Below are 19095 nucleotides of genomic sequence, written 5' to 3'. Positions count from 1 at the left end.
CTGATTGCAAACAAAACATGGAAGGATGAGTATTCCTCAGGATGAGGAAGCTGAATTCTCATGGCTTTTCCTGCAGAACTCAAGATAAGGCGCTGTTAGTGATATCACATCCACATCCACCATGAATGAAGCCTGGATTCGGATTACAAAGCTGAATAAACCAGATATCATCTTTGGCATAAGTGTGGCTATTTATTGGTATCTAAAGGATCTGAGTCTGAAGGAAAGATAAACCTAAGTATCAATAAGTTGTGAAATCTGTTTATATTAGTACCGCTGGGAGTACTGTCTGGATAGCAGTGGCTTCACTAGAAATGCCTAGAACCCACTCTTCTGGTGAAGGCAATGCATCTAGATTAAGGTAAAGCCACTGGCACAGTGCCCATTGCTTTGCCCAATGTATTTGTGTCTGATTTATTTCCTTATAGGCCCACGTTTCCCTGTAAATTGACAGGCACCCCCTCCTGCTGACACTGGACATACTAGAGCAAACCCTAGATGAGGGCCCATGGCTATTTTGAAGGCTCAGCTGCTTAGCTGTGTGTGCAGGAAGGCCATGCACTTTACCCTGATAGCAGCAAATCCCTGGGGGCGAATGGTGCCACAGTCAGGAGAGATGGTGAATTCTTTTGGTTTCATTGAGGATATTTCTTCCTTGGTCCAAGACGGTCTTTTGTAGTCCACATGCTGCTCACAATATGAAATGCTTTTATGGCCAAGGCCATCCCCAGGGATACGCAGTTTGTAAGTCATGGGGATCAAAGAGGTATTATTGAGGGAACATATCAAGGTATGAGGAAACCCTGGAAAACAAAACATGATGTGAGAAATAAAAGCCCCCCCAACACCTCCCTTGACCCTCAATCTCCCCTAGAAACTGCTAAGCTTCTTGAATGAACTGTCTGTGCTATTCATTACTACTTAACTCCAACTTGCCCTAAATATTATTGTTTTATTCCATCAATAAATACATTTTCATTCATTAATGTATCTATTTTTTCATTTATGCATTCACTCAATGAATATTTACTATGCATTTACTATGTGGGAGATTAAACACCACATATAAAACAAGCCCCTTGATTGCCACTCAGGCCCTTCCGGGGAGGCAGCCTCTGTTAGTAGTTGGCTGAGTAGTCTTGCAGAAGTATATTTTGCATTTATTTCTTACACAAAAATATACATTTTTACATTGAATCATGCTTGCTGTTTTTATTTGCCAGTGTGTGAAAGAAAAAGCCTGCATGGTTTTGCCCGCTGGGTGACCCAGAGCTTGCCAAGACATGATAGTGTGTCCTAGACCTGTCTGGGTATCACGCTCTTAGGGCTGATGACACAGTATCAAAAAATAGCCTTTCCCAAGAGAGACTTTACAAACTGCTTTAGAGCCAGCCAGAGACTAACACCTGGCTTTTACCTCTCTTAGACAAAGCTGCTTTGTCATCGTATCCAGCTTCGTTCCGTGAGACTCCTCTCTTAAGAGGTGTGGACCTTTCTTGCTTGGCAAGCAATACACTAAGCTCTGATTTTCTTTCTTTTCTTTCTTTCTTTCTTTCTCTCTCCTTCCTTCCTTCCTTCCTTCCTTCCTTCCTTCCTTCCTCCTTCCTTCCTTCCTTCCTTTCTTTCTTTTTTTTTTTTTTTGAGACAGAGTCTTGCTCTGTCACCCAGGCTGGAGTGCAGTGGTACAATCTTAACTCACCTCAACCTCCACCTCCCAGGTTCAAGTGATTCTCCTGCCTCAGCCTCCTGAGTAGCTGGGATTACAGGTGTGCGCCACCATGCACCACCGCGCCCATCCAATTTTTGTATTTTTAGTAGAGACGGGGTTTCACCATGTTGGCCAGGCTGCTCTTGAACTCTTGACCTCAGGTGATCCACCTGCCTTGGCCTCCCAAAGTGCTGGGATTACAGGCGTGAGCAACAGTGCCCGGCCACTAAACTCTGATTTTCGATTCCCTAGGCAGCTATTGTATCTGATACCACTTTCAGAACAAGAAGAATAATCTATAGACACAGGAGAACAAAAATGCATATTTCTACTGGATGGAAATGCTACTCTTCTACCTTGAACTCTGCTGTAATAAAATGTACTTGGTCTCTTGGAGTAATGACTGTTGCTGTCGGGGCTATTTTGAGTTGATCTACTTCTGCCTCATGTCTCAGCTTTTGTCTACACATTAGGCCATTGGAGGAAACACATTCATGTATCCTTTGTGATAACACACCTGCCAACCTACTTGGAAGATATCTTTCATGGAAAAAGAACTGTGAGATTGAGTGCACTTAAAGGATTATTCTTGGAAATTCCAGAGGAACTGCTTGGAAGGCAGCTTCACAATCATGCTACATGTGACTTTCCTGGACTTACCAAATAATGACTCTGGAAACTGTAGATGGCTTAGCCTTATTTGATCTGACCATTTATGAGTTAGACGATCTGTGAATGTGGAGCGTATTATGGAAAGTGGGTATTATAAAGAGTCACGTGGTCTTCCAAACCATTGCCCAGACTGCTTCCTTAAAGCCAGAACTTTTTCACAGAATAAAGCCAATTATGACCTCCTAGTTACAACAATTTCTTGTACTAGTACCTGTAATATCCCATATTGCTTGTCAAGAAGCCTAAAGGAAGGGGATGCTGATTTGTTAAAGACTGAAGGTCATTAATAAGAATGTTACACCTAGGTTTCTAATTGCAACCAATCCTAATACTATTCTATCTACAGTTCCACCTGAATGCAAGTACTTTACAGTTGTAGACCTCTATGCTCCCTTTTATAGGGTCTAGTAGATAAAAAGTCAATATTTATTTGCCTTCTCTTCAAATAATTAACAACATAATTGCACAGAATGTCTCAAGGATTCACAGAGGCACCTGATCTTTCTCCCAATACTTGTATAATGTTTTAAAACACAACATTCTCAAGAGATTCAATTCTCCTTCAAGATGCTTATTTTCACCTGACCTAAAAAGCTCCTAAGAAGACTAGCAGAAACTAGCAGCGGAAGATCACAAGGCTGTAAAGGAAAAATTACAGTTCTTTAAAAATATGGTATATTATTTGGAACATGACGTCTCTACTAGAGAAAGGACCCTATCTAATGGGAGTATTAAATTGATTCATCAACATGCAGGACAAAATGCTAAATTATAATTGAGAGACTGGGGGATTCATGGAATATTTTAGACAATGGATTCTTTATTTTTCTAGTAAAGTAAAAATCTCCACAAAGCAAAGGGAACTGTGTTGGCAGATCATTATGCAAATCAGGTGGCATTTTTGTCATTGTCCATAGAAATAATTCAGAATATGGGAATCAATAAGCACATATATCCAACTCATTTTGGACATAGAAAATTTAGCCTCAGATTCAGAAAACAAACGTTGCCTAAAATTGGGAACCTCTGTTCATTCCAATGGTCTCTGGAATACCAACTATGCCCCCAAATCTAAGTGGTCTTTGACAAAAATGTTTTATCATACGTAAAACATCACCACCATAGAAGAGAGGAAATAATCTCTGAATAAGAATCAATGGGAAAATCTCTCCTCTGTAGCTGGGGATGTGGCTGGCTCCTGCCTCCCATCCTGATACCATATCCAGAAACATTGTACAAGTGGGATGTGAGTCTCTGGAATATATGTGGATTAGGCCCAGCTCACAAAGTTCAGAATATGTGCTTGTAACTGTAAATTCTTTGGATGGGTTTGAGCCTTTCTGTACAGAAAGACCAGTGCTGTGACTGTGACTAAGAAACTGTAGACTATAATTTTCCCACCTGGGGAATGTTACCTTACACTACAAGAGTTAAAAAGAATTTTATAGTGCGTTAGCCCTTTGATAAAAAATTTCACAATCTTTGGGAAATGTAGAGCATAAAAATAGTATTACTGATCTTAAGTTGGCCCAGTTCTCCGAGGTTCTGAGTTCCTTGATGAAGAGTTTTACCTTTAGCTCTGATGGCCATCAGATATGATTAGCTCCCTCTGTAACTCATAGGCTATTCACTTTATGAAATAATAACTAGAAGATCCATGTGATTACAAGTATTTCATCAATTTGGGTCAACCTTGCTTCATGCAGACATAACAAAATATTGTGAGAACCAGCTCATCTATAAGTTTAAAAAGTCTTCCCTAAAATACCACCCTCAGAAGCCCTCCCCTCTTTCTAACTGAAGAATGAGTACCCTGAAAAATACACCAATGAAGGTCTTCTTCAGAGCCTTCTAACAACTGACCTTGCAGTTAAATTATGAGGTGGACCTCTGAGGAAAAAGATGCCCATAGAAGCTAAATTATTGGCTGAAGACGTGTTGAAAAATACTCTCACTGGGGATCTTAAGTAGAGGTTTTCTAAAAAAACAGAAAAAACCTTTAGAAGCAGATGACCTTCAGAAATAGACTGCTATTTCAAGTCCCTCAGAACAAGCAGACTTTACCCACAGTAGACAGCTTCTGCTCAAGACTGATGGGATGAGATTTTGTTAGATGCCTGACGTTACTGATTCTCACACTCTCCCTTGCCTGCTTTTGTTTTTCATCATTTTGCCATATTACTCCTTGTTTCTTATCTTAAGGTTATACAATTTTGATACACCCTGTGATGTCTCCCTTACTGTTATTGACAACTTGTTTTGGGCATGCTTTGCTCACACCTACTATGATCTCTTCTGCCAACCCTTCTAAGATCATTCTGTGATCATTACAATCCGGTTTTGCTCCCGGCTCCCTACTTTACACCCTCCGAAGGTCAACTTAGATATTTCTCCTTCAGCTACATACTGCCAGTTTATATCAGTGCCATAGAAGAGACACTGGTAATGCATCTTTTGATGCTTTATTTGAACAACTCTGTCCCCAAATCCCAGACAGGTTATCATATTTTGCAATAACTTCTCTGTCCACATTATTCAATGGCCGAGTTCAATAAATGCTTGGAGGTTTTCAAACTCCTTATTCTCATTCAACACATCCTTGTATCTCCTGAAAAATAGTGGGTTTGCAGATATTTACCTGGGCCTTTAGTGTATCAGCTAGCATGCCAGTTGTTACTTGGTCCGTTTATTCTTTAACCCATCCAAGGATTCATCTATGCCTCAATGTTCCTTCAAGGACAATCACCACCCAATTCTATTATCTGACTCTCTCATGCTACTGCAGCTGTAGTCAACAGAACTAATTATTTCTGGGTAGGTCATCCAACATCCAATCCTACCATCAAAAATCTTTATAGCCATAGAAATTCTGGAAACCAACATATAGTACTATTACCCACCACCCATCTATCACAACATCATCAATTCCAACAGTCCCTGATGCAAAATCCATATCTTCACCACCAAGCAAATAAATGCCACATCTCCAACACTAATCTGTAACAGACTCCTTTTTAGGAATGGAACTTAAGTGTCAATACAGGGATAATACTGTCAACTTTAGTTAGCTTAATGTATTCCCCACTATATTAGCCTCTGCAAACCTTTTTAAACCCCACATAATATGTCCATCATTCTGAAATAACTAAAATATTCCTCCAATTCTTGGCTTATTCCTGGAATGATCAGTTTCACTTTTGCATCAGGAACTATACGCATCCCTATTAGTCTTTCATTCCTGAGCTAATAACAAGCTTATGCTCATCTGTCTCATTAACGCCTCCCTACTTGCATATGTGGGGTAATAATTAGAAAGTTTCAAATGTGGCCAGGCACGGTGGCTCACACCTGTAATCCCAGCACATGGGAGGCAGAGGCAGGTGGATCACCTGAGGTCAGGAGTTCGAGACCAGCCTGGCCAACATGGTGAAACCCCGTCTCTACAAAGAATATTAAAAAATTAGCCAGGTGTGGTGGTATGCACCTGTAATCCCAGCTACTCGGGAGGCTGAGGCAGGAGAATTGCTTGCTCCGGAGGCGGAGATTGCAGTGAGCCAACATGGTGCCACTGCACTCCAGCCTGGGCAACAGAGACTCTGTCTCAAAACAAAACAAAACAAAACAAAAAACACCAAAAAAAGAAAAGAAAAGAAAAGAAAGTTTCAAATGCCTCTCCACATCCTCCAGTGCCACCATGCTTCTTTGTGAAGAGTCTATTTGATGAGAGACCAATCCACCTGGGGAAATAATGGTACTTTGTTGGAGTCATGAGGCTTAAATTGTGGGGGTCATATAATTGGAAATTAACACAAAATTGCCCCTCGCTTTGGCTGATGCAGTACAGACTCCAGAAGCAAAGCAAAGTAGCCTAAACCCACTGACCCATGTGGTTTTGAAAACCAGATCGCCTTAGATTTCCTGTTGGCAAGCCCAAAAGGGATGTTATTGCTGACATTTCCTGCCACAATACAGAGAAGATTAAAGAATTTATAGCATTCATAGCTAAACTAAAAGAAAAGATAACTTGGGTTTTGAAGGTGGATTAAGTTGGTTTTTGAGATAAGTTTCCATGTCTCAGGTTTGGGAAATCTTGGGGGTCATGGTTCTGCAGTGTCTTCTGGCCTCTTGCATAGCTGCTGTATCATCAAATGGTTCAATAAGATATTAGACAACAAAAGAAAAGTAAATTGTTTCTAATTTTCAGCTAAGCTAATTACCAAAACTTTCAGCTGAACCAACTATGAGGAACAGCTGTTGATTTTTATTTCTATAGCTCAAGGAAACTATGGATAAATTACCCAATGATAATCTTTCCTGCGTCCTAATAAAGGAGGCCCAAATGGAAGATGGTTAAGGGAAAAACCTATCTAACCTTGGAGCATGCGTACCTGGTTTCGTGTGAGCCAGAGCTCCCTAACATCAAAAATCCCATTCTAGATCTGATGGAGAATAATGTTATCAGTGTCATTGTTTTGAGGATGAATAAGAGCCTTTAAATTGACACACAGGTTATTCTTTAAATGGACACACAGGTTATTTTCTTATTTGGCATACAGCATATAGGAAAAGGAGGCGATGATATGAGAGTTCTGGCAAACAGGAAGAGGAAGTGGAAAGGCTACTCCTTTTGTCTCAGTTGAGTATGGGAAGGGGAAGAATAACAGAGTGGCCACATGTGTACATCATGGCATCTGCCTTACAGGCCAGAATCTCAGGGATAGGGTGGCTAAATAGGTTGAGGGGATGTTGGAAGCAAAGGGACTTCTGCCTGGCTTTCTTGTTGGGAATCTCAGAGCAGACCACTTCACAGAATATTCTCATACCTGCCTGGGGCAGCTAACTCAGGATAAAAATGGTATGCTTACGCTGAAAGGGAATCAGTACTTGAGGATCTCTCAGTTCCTGTGTGGCTGGAGAAGGACACAGGCATTACACATGGATACATGGCACCCTTCCTCCCACTCATGGTTCTGGAAGGTAGTTGGGTTGAGAACAGTGAACTTGCCATGGGTCTGCAACAGGGCTGCCATAGCAAAAGGCCAGGCAACCATACCTCAATGGCTATGAAGGGAGAAGAGAGATTAGCTTCACACTGTCCAACGGAAATACAATGCAAAACACAAATAGGTGACATTAATTTTAACAACATAGTGCATTTAACCCAACATGTCAGAAATATTATTTCAACATGTAATCAATAGTATTTTACACTTACAGCACATCTCAGTGTGCTCAGTAGCTTCATGGGGGAAGCACAGGTCTAGCTCTAGGGAGAATGGAGTCAGTGGAAGCCAAGTCAGTGTTGGCTCTGCTGGAGCTGAAAGGACAAGCCATCAGTGTTCCCACAATACCTCAGTGGAAATGGGCGCCACGGGTAAGTGGTTAGCTAGATGAGGCACCCCCAGGCCAGTGCCTCAGTGCCCCCCAACTCCTGCCATGCTTGCTTGGTAGTGTGGGAACACATGAGAAATACTAGTTGGGTTATAAAAAAATACTTAAATTTTCTTCACAAAAAATATCTAAGATGATTGAGATTAAGCATCTTTTAATATGTCTTTCATAGACCTTCTATTCTGTTTAAACACTTACCAATTCATACATGTCTATTCATCTATTTGCCAATTTTTCTATTGGATAATTTCACTTTTCCTCATGAATTAGCAGGAGTTAGTTTCATGTATTCTGAAGGTTCATGTATTCTGATTTTAATACTTTGCCTATTATTTATGTTGCAAGCATTGTCTTTTTACTGTGTTCATGAAATCTTTTTGTTTGGAAATTTGCTTAATGTTAGGGAGCCACACTTACTAACCTTTTTCTTTATGGCTTTTGCATTGGGCATCTTGTTTAAGACCTTCACACTTGCTAGCATATAAACATAACCACCTATATTTTCTCCTGATATTTTAAAAAGTTTGTTTTTCATTGTTAGCTGTTTAATAGATCTGAGATTTTTTTCTGTGAAAGATGTGAGGTAAAAGTCTAACTTTTCTATTATTTCCAATGGATAACAAATTGTTTCTTTGCCTTTTATGAAGCAGCCCATGCCTCCACTGATCTGAAATTTCACATTGAGCATGTGTAAATTCCCCTGTAGTCATGGCTTTGTTTCTATTAGTCTATTTGCCTACGCTTTAAAGTACATTATAATATCTGATAAAGTCCACAGTCACTGGTCTTTGTTTCAAAAATTTATTGGCTCTTTCTGTGAATTTTTCCCCAGGGAATTAACCAATTATCTTCTTCCTGTAGTGTCTGCACATTTATTGTTAGGTTATTTTATAGTTTTATATTCTTAAATGATATTTTTCAATTATATTTTCTAGTTAATCATTGCTGATATATTTAAAAATCTACTTTTTAACAATATTTTGCTTGAATATCTTGCTAAACGCTTATTAGTTCTAATGCCTTGTCAGTTAATTACCACAGTTTTTCTAGGTAGAGAATAATACATTCTATAAACCATGATAGTTTTGTTTTTTTCTTTTCAACTACTTATCTTTTATTTCCTTTTATTTTCTTGTCACAATGGCTTGGACCTCCAGGACAATGTTATATGATAGCTTGAGAATAGTTTTTTGTTTTTTGTTTTTTTTGTCTCTGAAAATGAATCAGAATGCTTTCAACATTAAATTGTAATATCCCAGTCCCCAGAATAGTGTCTAGAACATAGCTAAACTAATATTACTAAATATACGTTACTAAATGAATAAAGGTCCCCATTAAATACATTTTCCCACTGTAGGTTTTTTCTATTTTTCATTCATCATATTAAGGAATTTCCCTCCTACTCCTAGTTTTCTAAGAACTTTTATTTCTCATTATGAATGAGTGTTGGATTCTGTGGAATATTTTTCTCAGCATGAACTGAGATGATATAAATTGTGGTAAATTACATGAATGGATTTCCTGTTACTAAACCATTTTTGGATTTCTGGGATAAATTCTACTTGGTCATGATGTAATTTTAAAAATGCATCTCTATGCATGTGATTTGCTAATGCTTTAAAATCAATGTTCATAAGAGAGATGGGTCTATATTTTTCTTTTCTTGTGTTGTTTTACTGTGAATATATTTGTCTCCTAAAACGAGTTAATAGCTTTCTACATTTTTCTGTGATGTGAGATACATCCATTTCTTCACCATTTGGTAGAACTCACTTGTAAAGCTGTTTGACCTAGTGTCTTTTCTTCAGGGGTAGATATTTGACTTCTTTTTCAGTATATTCTATGATTATTTTTCTATTCAGGTTTTCTACTCCTTGTGGTAATTTTAATAACGTATGTTTTCCCCCAACTCATCCATTTCTCCTATTTTTTAAAGAAGTTGTATATAGCATTCTCTTATCTGTTTTTACTGCCTTAAATATCTGCAATTGTATTTCTTTCCTGGTTCCTAATAAGAGTTATGAGGGTTTTTTTGTTGTTTATTTGTTTTTTTAGAGACAGGGTCTTGCTCTTTTGCCTAGGCTAGATTGCAGTGGTGCAATCACAGCTCACTGCAGCCTCCAACTCCTGGGCTCAAGAGATCCTCCTGCTTCAGCCTCTTAGGTAGCTGGGGCGACAGGTACGTACCACTACACTCAGCTGATCGTTTTAGTTTTTTGTAGAGATGGGGTCTTGCTATGTTGTCTGGGCTGGTCTTGAACTCCTGGGCTCAAGCAATCCTCCCGCCTCGCCCTCCCAAAGTGGAGGGATTATAGATGTGAGCCACTATGCCTGGCTGATTCTTAATTGATGTTGCCCAGATTTGCTAAGTTACGGCAAAATTGCTGGTTATCTCCCACTATCCTTTTCCTTCTCCAGGAAGTAACGAAATCCCTAAGTTTTGGTTGTGAATGTGGCCAGCAAGAATGAGGCTGTATTTCCTAGCCTTATGTGCAGCTTGGTTGTGGCCACACAACTAAGTACTCACCAATGGGATATAACCATATGTGGCGTGTACAACTTCTAGGAAGTGTCCTTAAAAGGAAGGGGTGTACTCTTTTCCTGTCTCTTCCTCCTTTCTGCTGGCTGGAATGTGAGTATGACGGCTAAGGTTAGGGCAGAAAACTTGACCAAGACATAGAAGCTACATGCTACCTATGATGGAGTTACAGAATTGAAAGAGCATCCAGTTGCACACTATAAGGACAAATGTTTTTCTTCAGTTTAGAAATTCTCAGCCGCCATCTCTTCAAATATTGCTCTTTGGCCATTTTCATTCTTTCTCCATCTAGCATTTCTGTTAGATACAAGTTAGAACTTTTAAACCTTTAAACTTAGAACTTGTATCTATTAGATACAAGTTAGTTAGTTAGTTAGAACTTTTAAATCTTACTTTCCATGTCCCTTTATTTCGCTTTCATGTAGTCTAACTCTTTTGCTTTCAGTGCTACATTCTGGATGAATTTCTCAACATTAGTTACTTGTCAATATATAAGTTTTATGCCTGACTGTCAGTGTTTGGGGTGCTCAAGTGGAGAAGACTTCTAGATAAAAGAGTTTTAGATATTCTTGGAGCTCAATAATGGGCTTACCACTGGTATATAGCATTTACATTAACATTTCAGAGCTGAACTATAGAGTAGATTCCAAACAATGAATCAGTATAAGATTTCTTGGCAGTAACTGACTTGGGATGGTTATGTGGACTCTGTTTTCTTATGCAGGGCAATCAGATATAGGGCACATGTTCTGAATGTCCTTGTGCTGGACTTCCTATTCCAGTGCTGTGGAACGGGGGTTCTTTGTAAACCTTCCTCCTTCCACGTAGAGAAAAGGAATCCTATTCAATTTCTAATTTAAAATGGAAAATTACTCACCAAAGGAAACATCACCAAAGTGCAGAGCTGGAACATTAAAATGGAAGGTAGGTCCAATGACACAGCCTCTGGAAGGAGGAATACAAGGTGGGGGAGAGGGAGAGAATCCAGTGAATCAGAGTCACAATCAGGAAGTAGGGCAAGGATAAGTACAAAAACCATACCTTGACTTTATGTCAATTATAGTATCCAGGATTTAAAGAAATGATGACATGATGGTCTATCACAGTGGTTCTTAAAATTCTTTTTCATGATTCAAACCATGGGTTTTGACAAACAATGCTGTGGTTAACTTATTATCTTATTTCTACCAATGAATAGGTGAGAGGCAGAGCAGATGGATCACCAAACAAGGGCACAAAATGTTGTTATTTTGAATGAGACACATATCATGTAAAGTTATTAATGTGTCAAGAAATAAAAATTATAGGTCTAATCATGTAATACACATCAAAGACTATCATTGATACTAGTAATCCCTGTCCATGCTTTCATATAAACTGTTCCAATTCCACTCTTACCACTGTGACATTCCTACCACTGTGACATTCACTCACTGTGATGTTGGCCAGCCACTTTATCTCTATCAGCTTCTGTTTCTCTTCCTCGTGTATAAAAGAGAGGACTGGACTAGGTGACACTGAATGACTCTTTACTCTAAATGTTGGTCTATTTCTCTCTCAGTGTAAGGCTTTATGATCTTGGAGAGATGCTGTAGCTTAAAATAAATAATAGAGAGATTCTATGACTTCTAGCTTAGAAGGTATTGTAGGTAGAATAATGGCTCCCAGAGATATCTATGTCCTAATTCCCAGAACCTATGAATATATTAGGTTACATGGCAAAGAGGAATTAAGGTAGCAGATGGAATTAGGGTTGCTAATTAACTGAATTTAAGATGAGGAGATTATCCTGTCTTATCCTAGTAGGCCCACTGTAATCACAAGGGTGATTTTAAAAATAGAGGAAAGAGACAGAAGAGGAGGTCAGAGTGCTGCAATCTGAGAACTCAACCTGGCTTTGAACACAGAAGAAGGAAACTTTGAACACAGAAGAAGGAATCCAGGAATGTGAGCAGCCTCAGAAAGCCAAAAAAGGTTAGGAAATGGGTTCCCCTCTAGAGCCTTCAGAAGGAAACACAGCCCTGCCAACACTGATTTTAGCCTAGCTAGACCTGCATTAAGTCTATAAAACTGTAAAATATTAAGTATGTGTTGTTTGAAGCTACTAAATTTGTGATAATTTGTTACAACAGCAAAAGAAAACTATTCGGTTATCTTGTTTACCTTCAGAGCAATAATATTTTTCTCCATGATCCATGTAAAGACATGGATTGGTACCTTAGTGATACTTCCGGTTGCTTCAGCTCTGACTATAATGTGATGAGAGGTTGTTGTAAGCCTGGGAGGAATGGCCACAGCAAAGACTCACTGCAACAAGTTTCAGGTCTAACTTTCTCATGAGCATTTATTATATCTCATGCTAACGATCTGAAGTGATTTTAAAGGGAGTGGTTGGGACTCAGCCAGGAATTGGGATCCAGTTGAGAATGAAGTCAACAAACAGGCCGACAGGCTATATGCTTCACTTGAAAAAAAGCTTTTAGGGACCAAAGTAACAAATAGATCAAAAGTGTCTGACATGCGCAAGATGCTAAAGAAAGTAGGAAAGAAGTTTAAAAAATTTACACAAAGCAGACATTTAATCAATGCAGAAGTTTAAACAACCAGAGATACATGACACTTGTTCAAAGGCACATGTAACTGAGGGAATTGTGGCTGAACCATCCCATCTGGACTTAGATATGGTCACATTAATTCTCACAGGGATTCAGAATGTTAGGACAATCTATGCCAAGGCTGTGTCATAAATCAGTGCAGGGGTCTGTTAAAACTATAATTTGAAAGACAAGAGAGAGAATGATTCAATTATTACAATACGTAAGTGAGACAAGTTGAATACAAAATGTATCTGTGCTATGGTTCAAACTTTATAAAATCACATACATAAAAATAGGAGGGAAGAAAATTGCTTGTGGGTAATTTAAAAAATCACACTAATTTTAGTGTTGTTTATCCAACCACTGAAAATATTGTGTTATATAACTGGAAGAGTAAACAGAAAGAGTGAAAGTATAATATTTGTTATGATCTTTCAAGGCACATTAGCTAAAATACTAGCTTATGCAGTACTGAGAAATGAGTACCTGGCAATAAAAAAGTAAGAAACAAAATTCCAGAACCTACGATATTAACTTTATAGACATTTCCTGGGCTATGAGGCCCAAGAAAGTATTTCTGACAAAGTAAAATAACAAGTCAAGTCAGTGTTAATGTGTGGAGCTGAGAACAGATGATGTATTATACATGCATTTTTGCCCTTTATGAGTAGACATTTATTCATGACACTAGATTTTTAACAGGTTTTCAAAATTATTGTTAGTGGTTTGAAATGCTACAAACCACTAACAATTCAACACTATTGGACAAATGAAACACTGAGCTTTAAAGGAAGTGAACTGAGGAGGAAATTTATGTAAGTCTATTTCTCTTAGCAATTGATCATGAGTTTGGTGATAAATCCCCATAAAGATTCTTTCCATAGTCAGGTTTGTTGAAGGAAACTAGAAATGAACATCCAAAATCAAGAAGTGGCATGTGAATTTTGGTAAATGGAAATGTCCAGAAGATAGAACAAGAGGCTTACCCTGCACAGAGCAGGTGGAGTACTAACTAGTCCAAGTTCACTTGTGAGCAGATTCCTGGGAGATCCCTAAATCCTATTATTCCCAATGGAAAACCCAAGTACACCTTAACCTATTTAGACATTGCAAGTGACATGCATGACTACTCTGGGATCTTTAGGAGAACAGATCAGAGATTTAAAAAATTCACCCAGGAAATTACAGAAGTATTATTCACTATTACAGCCTCCTGGAATTTTTTTTTAAATGACAGCTTCATTGAGATATAATTCACACATCATACAATTCACACATTTAAAGTGTACAAATCAATGTTTTTTGTATATTCACAAATATATGCAACCATCACTACAGTCAATTTGAGAACGTTTTTATCACCTCAAAAAGAAACCTCATGCCCTTTAGCTGTCACCCACTATCCTGCACCCTCCAGCCCTAAGCAACCACTAATCTACCTCAGATCTATATAGATTTGCCTACTTTAACCATTTCATATAAATGGAATCATGTAATGTGGTCTTTCGTGACCGGGTTCTTTCATAATGTTTTCAAGGTTCATAATGGATGAACCTTATTTTCAAGGTTTATAATGGTGTCATTATGGCTGAACCTTGAAATCATTATGACAAGTGAAAGAAGCTAGTCACAAAAGACCGTGGTAGCAAGGTTCATTCATGCTACCATGTTGTAGCATCTATCAGTGCTTCATTTTTTTTCATTCCTTTTTATGGTCAAATAGTATTCCATTGTATAGATATAACACATTTCATTTATCTTTGGCTACTATGAATGATACTGTTATAAACATTCATGTACAAGTTTTTGTGTGGATATATGCTTTCATTCCTCTTGGGTATATACCTAGGAGTGGAATTGCTGGTCATATGGTAACTCAGTGTTTACATGTTTGAGGTGCTGATAAATCATTTTCTAAAGTGGCTGCCATGTCTTACATTCCTAATTACCAGTGTATGGGAGTTCTCATTCCTCCACCTTTTCACCAATACTTACAGTAGTTCCTTATCTGTAGTTTTGATTTTCTGTTGTTTCAGTTACTTATGGTCAACACGGTCCAAAAATATTAAATAAAAAATTTCCAGAAACAAATCAGTCAGAAATTGTTAAGTGCACTTTGCGTAGTGTGATGAAGTCTTGTGTCATCCACTCTCTGTCCAGCCGAGGTCATGAGTCACCCTTTTGTCCAGTGTATCGATGCTGCATATGCTACCCGCTCTTTAGTCACTTAGTAGCTGTCTTGGTTATCAGATCAACTGCCACAGTATTGCAGTGCTTGTGTCTGAGTAACCCTAATTTTACTTTTGCGCTTTGGGGCCTAAAAATGCAGATAAAGGGAAACTACTGTATTTTCCATTTTAAGATTATAGCCATCCAAGTGAGTGTGAAGTAGTATCTCATTGTGGGGTTTTGATTTACATCTCCCTGAGGATTAATGATATTGACAGTCTTTTCATGTGTTATTGGCCTCTTGTATATCTTCTTTGAGAAATGTCTGCTTAAACGCTTTGTCCATTTTTAAATTGAATTATTTATTGAGTTATAATTGTCCAATAATTTATTGTCCCTTATCAGATATATGAGTTGCACATACTTTCTCCCATTGTGAAGGTTGTCTTTTCACTTTCTTGACAGTATCCCCTTTCAAGCACAAACTTTTTTACATTCTGATGAAGTCTAATTTATTTATTTTTTCTTTGGTTGCTTGTGCTTAGATGCTGATTATCTGAAAACTATTGCTTATTTGGTTTTTGGATATGGATATTTAACCCTATTTTTTTTGTTTGTTTGTTTTTGAGACAGAGTCTCACTCTGTCACCCAGGCTGCAGTGCAGTGGCACAATCTCCGCTCACTGCAATCTCCACCTCCTGGGTTCAAGTGATTCTCCTGCCTCAGCCTCTCAAGTAGCTGGAATTACAGGCATGCATCACCATGCCCAGTTAATTTTTTTGTATTTTTAGTAGAGACAGGGTTTCACCATGTTGGCCAGGCTGGTCTCGAACTCCTGGCCTCAGGTAATCTGCCTGCCTCAGCCTCCCAAAGTGCTGAGATTACAGGCATGAGCCACCACACCGGGCCTATCCATATGTTGTCTTCTAACAGTTTTATAGTTTCAGCCCTTACATTTCAGTCTTTGATCCATGTAGAGGCAGTTCCCTTCTACTCCTAGTTTGTTACTTTTTTTTTTTAATCATAAAAGGGTGCTAAATTTTGGCAAATGCTTTTTCTGTGTTTACTGAAATAATCATGTGGTTTTTGTCCTTTATTCTATTAATATGTTGTATTACATTGATTGATTTTCTTATGTTAAGCCAACCTTTCATCATTCAGGATAAATCCCACTTCGTCATGGGGTATAATCCTTTCCACATGTTGCTGGATTTGGTTTGCTAGTATTTTGTCAAAGATTTTTGGGTCTAAATCCATAAAGGTTATGGGTTTTTAGCTTTCTTTTCTTGTAATGTTTTCATTTGGTTTTGGTATCAGGGTAATACTGGCCTCATAAAATGAGTTGAAAAGTGTTCCCACCTTCTTATTTTTTGGAAGAGTTTGTGAAAGATTTATGACAATTCTTCATTAAACATTCAGTAGAATTTACCAGTGAAGCCACTTGATCTTGTTTTTTGTTTGTTTGTTTTTTGGTTGGAATATATTACAGGTCTATTCAGATTTTCTATTTCTTCTTGAGTCAGTTTTGGTAGTTCGTGTCTTTCTAGGAATTTGTTCATATCATCTACATTATCTAATTTTTGGCATACAATTGTTCATAGCATTATCCACTAATCCTTTTAATTTCTGTAAGGTTGGTAGTAATGTCCTTTCTTTTATTCCTGTTGGGTAGAGTGTGCTGTAGATGTCTGTTAGGTCTAGGTGGTTTATAGTGTTCAACTCTTCTATTTCCTTTGTGATCTTCTGCTTAGTTTTTTATTATTGAAAGTGGGGTATTGACATCCCTTACTATTTTGCTGAATTGTCTATTTCTCCCTTCAATTCTATCTTTCTGCACTTCACAGATTTTGGTGCTCTGTTATTAGATGTGTGTTTATAATTGCCATATCTTTTTGATGAACTCACTATCTTATCATTGTAAAATGCCCTTCTTTGTCTTGAGTAACAATTTTTATTTTAAAGTCTATTTTGTCTGATATAACATAGACTCTCCAGCTTTCTTTTGGTACTGCTTGCATGGTGTATATATTTCCATCCTTTTGGTTTCAACCTATTCATATCTTTAAATCTAAAGTGTGGTATCTTGTAAAAAGCATATAGATACAAGATAGATATCTTGTAAAAAGCAAAAAGATATAGATTTTTGGCGGGGTTGTTTGTTTTGTTCTAATCCATTCTGCCATTCTCTAACTTTTAATTGAAGTATTTAATACATTGACATTTAATGTAATTGTTGATAGGGCAGGACTCATGCTACTTATTTTCTATATGTCTCATATCTTTTCTGTTCCTCTATTCCTCCATTACTGCCTTTCTTTGTGTTAAATGGATATTTTCTACCCTTTTGAATTCCTTTGTTATTTCTTTTACTGTATTTTTAAGTTTCTTTAGGGAATAGTTTAAAGAATGGGCAATCCTGAATTTGGGTAAATAATTCAGAGTCAAAAATGAGGGCAGTAGTATTCATGCATCAGGAATGTCTAACAAACCCAAATACATGAGTTCTTGCACCTAATATACAACCTTGCTTGAAGGAGGTACTCAATAAGAGTTTATTTAACAAATATCCAAAATACATATTTATTCCTAAAAGGGGTAGCTATGTATGTTGATGGTAAGACACAGTATTATTAGGCCTGAACTTAAAATGGGGAATGGCCAGGTGAAATTGGGATGGGCTTTCTTATTAAACTTGAGGGGCAGTTAGCCTTCCTTGGCTAGCACTTTCCCTTTCTTTCATCTACCTGAAAAGTAAAACTGCTCCTTTAATATCCTATACTTTCCTTCCTACAGATAGGGCCATTATTCCTTCTATCTTAAATGTTTTTAGAGCAGAGCTTAAAGGTTTTATCTTTGCTGCTTATGTATGAAGGCTTGCTTATGATACTGGATGTTGTCAAGGGTGCTTATGACTCAGAGCAATACTTCCTGATGCCCAGTAGTCAGCTTCCAAGAGTTGATCTGCTGGATCATATCAAAGGCCCTCATGGGACTAGAGGATCCGTGAATTGGAGACAAGGTTATATTCACAAGTTTGTTCTTCCTACTTCTTCAGAGAACCACCCTTCACTGCTTGTCATGAGAGATGAGATGTTATGAAGGTAGGAAGTGGGCTGAAGTTCATATAAATGAAAGTGTATTCCCACCCTTCTCATGTTGTATACATACCCAAAGGATGTTAACCATGGGCTGGGATAAGCACGGCACATATTCGTGAAGAGTCAATGTTATTCAAATATTTGGAAAACAACCCTCATTTTTCTCTTATAACAAACACACATGTATTATGGAAGAGAACGTAAATGTCTTGTGAATGTTTCAGATAAGTCTTGAGACTTAAAAATAAAAAAGATTATGATTGTGACAGGTTGCTTTGGTCATGCCACAGAACCCTTGAGGCACACACGTTCACTCTCCTTAGTTGTTGGGGGTTGTATGACTTTGCTAGGGCTGCCATAACAAAGTACCCTAGACTGGGTGGCTTAAACAACATAAGTTTATTTCTGTTGCTGTCAGACGGGTTGGTGATTGCAGGGTTATTTTTTTCTGAGGGTCTCTCGCTTCAGCTTCTCTTTATTTTTTCACATGGCCCTTTTCTATGTGTATGTCTGTGTCCTAATGTCCTCTCCTTATAAGGACACCAATCATATTGGATTAAAGCCCACCCATCTGACCTCATTTTGCCTTAATTACCTCTTTAAAGGCCCTATGTCCAAGAAGAGTTACATTCCGAGGTACTGGGTGTTAGGACTTCAACATATAAATTCTGCGGGAAACAATTCAGTGCATAACAGGGACACTGAGGTGGAAGAGTTGAGAATAAATAGTAATCACCTTTCAGCTAATCTTGAGATTCTGAATGTATAGTATATATCATGAGATCAGTACATTTTCCTTGGATCCTTCAGGTCATATGTCTCTATCTCTTTTCTATGTTATCCCCAGGGCTTGCCCCAAGGGAGACCTCAGCTTGTAGATGGAGGGAGGTCTTGCTAGCAGTTACCAGAATAAGAGAAAC

The 19095-nt window shown here is 38.1% G+C and overlaps 1 pseudogene across 1 annotated transcript in view; it reads right to left on the bottom strand.

Moving 5' to 3' along the window:
* HYDIN2 (HYDIN axonemal central pair apparatus protein 2 (pseudogene)) overlaps positions 1–19095 on the bottom strand; it is a 335703-nt pseudogene that overhangs the window by 179771 nt on the left and 136837 nt on the right. Inside the window, exons 18-19 of the transcript NR_103556.2 lie at positions 11188–11255; positions 568–803 (exon numbers count right to left, since the gene is read on the bottom strand). The product of NR_103556.2 is annotated as an HYDIN axonemal central pair apparatus protein 2 (pseudogene) (transcript). The remainder of the gene's footprint in view (positions 1–567; positions 804–11187; positions 11256–19095) is intronic.

Source organism: Homo sapiens, chromosome 1 (genome assembly GCF_000001405.40).
Source record: "Homo sapiens chromosome 1, GRCh38.p14 Primary Assembly".
In the NCBI taxonomy this organism is placed as follows: Eukaryota; Metazoa; Chordata; class Mammalia; order Primates; family Hominidae; genus Homo; species Homo sapiens.
The sequence above is the reverse complement of the archived record's forward strand: the minus strand, read 5'-3'. Positions and strand labels throughout refer to the sequence as shown.